Below are 7,175 nucleotides of genomic sequence, written 5' to 3'. Positions count from 1 at the left end.
CGAGGATGCGTGGCAGATGGGGATAAGTCTGCAGAGCAGTGATCAGGGGAAGAGAGTGAGGAAGGCAGGCTGGGAAGGAAGCAGGATTGAACAGCGGGGAAAGCTGAGCTGCAGTGCAGTCTCGATGAAGGCCTCAGCGGACTCCATAGGGAGCGCCGGAACTGGGAGGGCCCTTCCGAGTAGGCTTGAGTCAAGACAGGAAATTGGGTCTTCAGACCTCTTTGCTGCTAAGCATTGAATGCAGTTGCCCTGGGAAGGGACAGGGCTCTGTGCAACCTGGGGACTCTCTGCAGCCAAGGTAACACCTGCAGAGGGCCAGCAGGGGATGGGGGTGCTCTCAGCAGTGATGGGAGTCAATCTTTCCATCCTACAGGGAGTCTGGGGGTTGCCATCATAGGGTTACCGTGGCTGGCCATTGGGCTGTACTCCTTGGGAGAGTGGGGACAGGGAAAGACTAAGTCCTCCCAGGACACCATCTGACCAGGCAGTCCTCCCTCCTCCATCATCCTCCTTTCCTTGGGAGATCTAGGGTTCGAATCTTGGGGTGGACTCAAGGAAGTGGGCGTCAGAAGTCACCCAACCTGGGTCTGCCTTTGATCAGGCAAGGAGTCCCTTCCACATGGCCACACTCGCTACCACCTGCCTTCTCTCTCTCTCTCTGCTCCCTCAATGCCCAACAAGCAGACCCCCCATAACAGAAAAATAGGACTCTGTAGCCTGCAGCCCTGCCTCTCAGTGGCCAGGTAGCCTTGGGTAAGGCAGCTCCTGTCACTTGTTATTCACTCAGCTTTCTCAACCATCCAACGTGGATAAAGGTTCTTTTTACACAGGGTCTCCGTGGTCTTGATGTGTGGCCCAGGCTGGAATGCAGTGGCATGATCACAACTCACTGCAGCCTCAACTTCCTAGGCTCAAGTGATCCTCCCGCCTCAGCCTCCCACATAGCTGGGACCACATATGTGCACCCCCACACCTGGCTGATAAAGGTTCACTTGGAGGCAGATCACTGCACCTAGAGCCCAGGGCCTGGCAGTCAATTGGTCCTCATCAATGGAAGCTATTGTCACGACTGTGCACAGAAACACACCCTTGACCTATAGAGAAATTATGAGGACGTGGTCGTAGGATGGCTTGGCATCACGTGGAAAGATGGGTTTGTGCCAGTGGGGAATTTCTTAGGGAAGATGGGTGCTCTTTATCTGCTGTGAGTTGAGTTGTGTGTCCCCAAAAAGATAAGGTGGAGACCTAACCCCGGTACTGTGAGTGTGACCTTATTTGGAAACAGTCTTGTTAGCTGTCATTAAGATGTAAGTTAAGATGAAGTCAGACTGGATAAGGGAGGGCCCTAAATCAAGTGACTGATGTCCTTTATAGAAAGAGAAGAGGGCCAGGCACAGTGGCTCACGCCTGTAATCCCAGCACTTTGGGAGGCCAAGGCGCGTGGATCACGGGGTCAGGAGTTTGAGACCAGCCTGACCAACATGGTGAAACCCCATCTCTACTAAAAATACAAAGATTAGCCAGGCATGGTGGTGGGCATCTGTAGTCCCAGCTACTCGGGAGGCTGAGGCAGGAGAATCGCTTGAACCCAGGAGGCAGAGGTTGTGGTGAGCCGATATCATGTCACTGCACTCCAGCCTAGGGAACAGAGCAAGCCTCTGTCTCAAGAAAAAAAAAAAAAATTAGCAGGGCATGTGGTGTGCTCCTGTAGTCCCAGCTATTTGGGAGGCTGAGGCAAGAGGATTGCTTGAGCCCGGGAGGTCAAGGCTGCAGGGAGCTGTGATTGCACCACTGGACAACAGAGCTAGACTCTGTCTCAAAAAAAAAAAAAGTTAATTAAAAAAACATAAAAGGGGCCAGGTGCAGTGGCCTGTAATCACAGCAATTTGGGAGGCCGAGGCAGGTGGATCACTTGAGGTCAGGAGTCAGAGACCAGCCTGGCCAACATGGTGAAACCCTATCTCTACTAAAAATACAAAAATTAGGTGGGCGTGGTGGCAGGTGCCTGTAATCCCAGCTACTCCGGAGGCTGAGGCAGGAGAATTGCTTGAACCCTGGAGGCGGAGGTTGCAGTGAGCCGAGATCACACCATTTCACTCCAGTCTGGGTGACAGAGCAAGACTCCATCTGAAAAATAAATAAATAAATAAAATAAAAGGAACTCTGTAACCAGCTCTTTCTGATTCCAAAGGGTGGCCAGGAAGCTGGCATCGTTCCTCAGGCACGGGTGGGAGAACCAGAGCAGGCTCCTCTCCCCCACGGTGCCATCTGTGCCCAAGAACCGCTCTCCCCACGTGGCTGGCTCTATTTCGGCAAGAGAAAGAAGCTTCTCAGATGTGAAGCCCACGGGAGACCCACACGTATGAAGCAGGAGACCAAAAAAAAAAAAAAAAAAAAGGCAGCTCAAAATAGATTCTGTCTACAGCAGAAAATGACCTGGTGCCAGAATGGAGAAAAGTGGCCAAAACGAGCCAGTTTCGAGGCTTTCTAGGGTGCACGCCAGCATTCTGTCTGGAACAGGGGGTACCTCGGGGACTTCAGGATTGTGTGGGCCCCTTGTGGGGTGCAGACGAACCTCCCCCTTCATTCAGAAGCCCGCCTCTATGGCCTGGCCTTTAAAAAAAAGCCATCTCCCGGGATGAACTGGAGGCAGAAGCCACAGCAATTACTTGGAAGGAAGATCTGACTGCAGAAACACAGTGATCTGCATAGCGAGATGTTTCTAAGGCTTGTGGGAGAAAGCCATGGTGGTTTCCAAGTAAACGGCTTTTTACAAATTAAGCACAGCTACAGACAACAGAAGCAAAAAATAGATAAATTGGATTACCTCAAAATTTAAAACTTTTGTGCATCAAAGGATACTATCGTCATAGCAAAAAGGCAACCCAGGAGAATGGGAGACAATATTTACAAGTCATATATATATATATGTCTTGTAAAAATATATTCTTTCTTTGAGACAGGGTCTCGCTCTGTCACCCAGACTGGAGTGCAGTGGTGAGATCTCGGCTCACTGCAACCTCTGCCACCAGGGTTCAAGTGATTCTCGTGCCTCAGCCTCCCAAGTAGCTGGGATTACAGGCACCCATCACCATCCTCAGCTAATTTTTGTATTTTTAATAGAGACGGGGTGGGGGGGTTTCACCATGTTGGCCAAGCTGGCCTCGAACTCCTGACCTCAAGTGATCCGCCTGTCTTGGCCTCCCAAAGTGCTGCGATTACAGGCGTGAGCCACCACGCCTGGCCCACAGGTTATGTATCTGATAAGGGGTTAATATCCAGATTATGCATAAAGAACACCTATAATTCAACAGTTTTTCTTAAACCTGATAAAAATGGATTTGAACAGACATTTCTCCAAAAATACACAAATGGCCAATAAGTACATGAAACGATGTTCACCATTATGAATCATTAGAAAAATGCAAATCAAAACCACAGTGAGATAGAGCACTCTACCCATTAGGATGGTCACTCAAGAAAAAATTGAAAATGAGTGTTCGTGAGGATGTGGAGAAATTGGAACTCTTGCCTACTGCTGGTGGGAATGGAAAATTGCACAGCCATTGTTGAAAATAGTTTGACAGCCCCTCAAAAAATTAAGTCAAAAATAGGGCCAGGTGTAGTGGCTCATGCCTATAATGCCAACACATTGGGAGGCCAAGGCGGGAGGATCACTTGAGCCCAGGAGTTTGAGACAAGCTTGGGCAACATAGTGAGCCCCCATCTCTACAAAAAAAAAAAAAAAAAAAACATACAAAAATTGGTTGTGTGTACTTATAGTCTCAGCTACTGGGAGGCTGCAGGAGGAGGATCGTTAGAGCCTAGGAGCTGGAGGCTGCAGTGAGCTGCACTCAAGCCTGGGCAACATAGTGAGATCCTGTCTCTAAAAAAAACTTTTTTGGGCCAGGTGTGGTGGCTCACGCCTGTAATCCCAGCACTTTGCGAGGCTGAGGCAGGCGGATCACCTGAGGTCAGGAGTTCAAGACCAGCCTGGCCAACATGGTGAAATCCCCATCTCTACTAAAAATACAAAATTAGCTGAGCGTGGTGGCACGTGCCTGTAATCCCAGCTACTCAGGAGGCTGAGACAGGGTAATCACTTGAACCCGGTGGTGGAGTTTGCAGTAAGCCAAGATTGTGCCATTGCACTCCAGCCTGGGCAGCATAGAATTACCTTATGAGCTAGCATTCCAAAGAACTGAAAGCAGGAACTCAAACTATTTGCACACCCATGTTCACAGCAGCATTATTCACAATAGCTAAAAGATAAATACAATCCTGCGGGTACAGTGGCTCATGCCTGTAATCCCAGCACTTTGGGAGGCCGAGGCAGGCGGATCACGAGGTCAGGAGATCGAGACCATGTTGGCTAACACGGTGAAACCCCATCTCTACTAAAAATACAAAAAACTAGCCGGGCATGGTGGTGGTGGGTGCCTGTAAGTCCCAGCTACTCAGGAGGCTGAGGCAGGTGAATCGCTTGAACTCAGGAGGCGGAGGTTGCAGTGAGCAGAGATTGCACCACTGCACTCCAGCCTGGGTGACAGAACGACAATCTGACTAAAAAAAAAAAAAAAAAAAAAAAAGATAAATGCAACCCAACTGTCCACCAGCGGATGGATGGGTAAACCAAATGTGGCCTATCCATACAATGGAAGATTATTCAGCTTACAAAGGAAACAAATCCTGGCACACGCTACAACATGGATAAACCTTGAGGACATTGTATTAAGTGAAATAAGCCAATCACAAACGGACAAATCCTGAATGACTCCACTTATATGAGTTACCTAGAGTCTCAAAATTATAAAGGCAGAAAGTAGAACAGCGGGTGCCAGGAGGTGGGGGGAGGCGGATGGAGAGTGAGTGTTTAATGGGGACAGGGTTTCAGTTTGGAAAGATGAAAAAGTTCTGAAGATGGAGGTGGATGACGGTTACATCACAGTGTGAAAGTATTGAATGTCATTGAACTGTATGCCTCAACATGGTTAACATGGCACGTTTTATGTTATGGACATTTTAAAACTATTTTTGAAAACGTTTTCAGGCCGGGTGCGGTGGCTCATGCCTCTAATCCCAGCACTTTGGGAGGCTGAGGTGGGTGGATTACCGGAGGTCAGGAGTTCAAGACCAGTCTGATCAATATGGTGAAACCCTGTCTGTACTAAAATTACAAAAATTAGCCAGGCATCATGGCACACATCTGTAATCCCAGCTACAGGGGAGGCTGAGGCAGGAGAATCGCTTGAACCCAGGAGGCGGAGGTTGCAGTGAGCCGAGATCGTGCCACTGCACTGTAGCCTGGGTGACAGAGTGAGACTCCATCTAAAAAAAAAAAATAAGTAAAATAAACAATTACTAAATAAATAAAATAAACATGTTTTAATAACTAGTGAACTAAAAATTTAAAAAATCACAAGATTCCCTTCCATAAATTCAGGAAACATCTAGAAATCTGCCAATCTATGGTGGAGTGAGCAGCTTCAGGGTCAGACATCCACAAGTCATCCCCAGTTGCCCGGGATCCAGGCCCCCTCAGCTCATAAGGAGGAAACAAACAATGGAAATCCAACCCAACCCCCTTCTCTTTCTTTTTCTTTTCTTTTCTTTCCTTTTTTTTTTTTTCGAGATGGAGTTTTGCTCTTATTGCCCAGGCTGGAGTGCAGTGGTGCGATCTCGGCTCACTGCAACCTCTGCCTCCCGGGTTCAAGCGATTCTCCTGCCTCAGCTTCCCAAGTAGCTGGGATTACAGTCATGTGCCACCACACCCGGCTAATTTTTTGTATTTTTAGTACAGGCATGGTTTCACCATGTTGGCCAGGCTGGTTTCGAACTCCTGACTTCAGGGGATCCACCCGCCTCAGCCTCCCAAAGTGCTGGGATTACAGGCGTGAGCCACCGCACCCGGCCGAGACTGGCATTTGAATCAGTGAATTGTGTAAGGGAGTTCTGCCCTCTCCCAATCTGGGCAGGAACCACCCAATTGTCAGTGGGCCTGGAGAGGATAAAAGAGCAGAGGAAAGAATTCTCTGTCTCTCTCCTGGACCTGGGACACCCATCTTCTCCTGCCCTTGGACATCAGAATTTCCGGTTGTCCGGCCTTTGGGACTTGGACTGAGCCACGCTGCTGGCTTCACCAGTTCTCCAGCTTGCAGATGGCACAGGGTGGGTGAGTGTCAGCCTTGATAATCTCATGAGCCAGTTCCCATGGTAATCCTCTTCTCATTTATCTATATCGCTATCTATCTATCATCTATCTATATCTATCATCTATCATCTATCTATCAACTATCATCTATCTATCATCTCTCTATCAATCTATCATCTGTCTATCTATCTAGCTGTCTATCATCTATCATCTATCATCTATCTGTCATCTGTCATCTATCTATCATCTATCATCTATCTATCTATCTATCTATCTATCTATCTATCTATCTATCTATCTAATCTCCTGTTGGTTCTGTTTCTCTAAAGAACCCTGACACAATACACTTTTCCTATTCATTCGAAACATCATCTTCATTCTGCAGGATTCATCCCTCGCCTAGACGCTGGCGGGGCGGGCCTGGTCTGTCTGCGGGTGCTGTCTGCACACAGCAGGAACGAGTTAGCACTTGCAAATGCTCGCTGCTCCCCGGCGCCGCCCGCATGTCGGCTTGGCTCATCCCGCATCCTGGGCAGAGCCCAGCGTTTGTGTTTGTCCTTGGCCCTGGGCTCGAGGAGATGTTTACACTTTCTGCTTAAATCATAAGAAACTGGATCTGGCCAAGCACTTTCCCCAGATTTAGCCACTTTTCTTGTTTCGACTGCAAATATCTTATCTATTCTCTCGAGATATAAACAGCACAAGGGGATGACCTGGTGTGTTCATCTGACACCAGCCCCATTCAGATGCTGAGTCCGGGGTGCTGTGTGTGGACCAAACATGGGGTAAATAAAAATGGGTATGTCCCCCAGGAGGCAGTACTTGTTTCCTGGCCACCCTCAGGGACCCACCTGGCTCCCAAAGCTAAGCTTGGGGCTCCAACTGCCTATCTCAAGAGGGAGCCTGGGCCAGGTGCAGTGGCTCACGTCTGTAATTCCAGCACTTTGAGAGGCTGAGGTGGAAGGATCACTTGAGCCCAAGAGTTCAAGACCAGCCTGGTCAACATAGTGAGACCCCATCTCTA

At 48.7% G+C, this 7,175-nt stretch overlaps 2 annotated features.

The window, feature by feature from the left end:
- Window positions 6,159-6,666: an enhancer, noted in NCBI's record as "H3K4me1 hESC enhancer chr7:97663859-97664366 (GRCh37/hg19 assembly coordinates)". NCBI's record gives its function as "activates a minimal SCP1, AML or CMV promoter by ChIP-STARR-seq in naive H9 embryonic stem cells {active_cell/tissue: H9 hESC(naive)}" and the evidence as "EXISTENCE:reporter gene assay evidence [ECO:0000049][PMID:30033119]".
- Window positions 6,667-7,175: an enhancer, noted in NCBI's record as "H3K4me1 hESC enhancer chr7:97663350-97663858 (GRCh37/hg19 assembly coordinates)". NCBI's record gives its function as "activates a minimal SCP1, AML or CMV promoter by ChIP-STARR-seq in naive H9 embryonic stem cells {active_cell/tissue: H9 hESC(naive)}" and the evidence as "EXISTENCE:reporter gene assay evidence [ECO:0000049][PMID:30033119]".

This window comes from Homo sapiens, chromosome 7 (genome assembly GCF_000001405.40).
Source record: "Homo sapiens chromosome 7, GRCh38.p14 Primary Assembly".
Lineage (NCBI taxonomy): Eukaryota > Metazoa > Chordata > Mammalia > Primates > Hominidae > Homo > Homo sapiens.
Note: the sequence above shows the minus strand (reverse complement) of the source record. Positions and strands in the feature narration are given on the sequence as shown.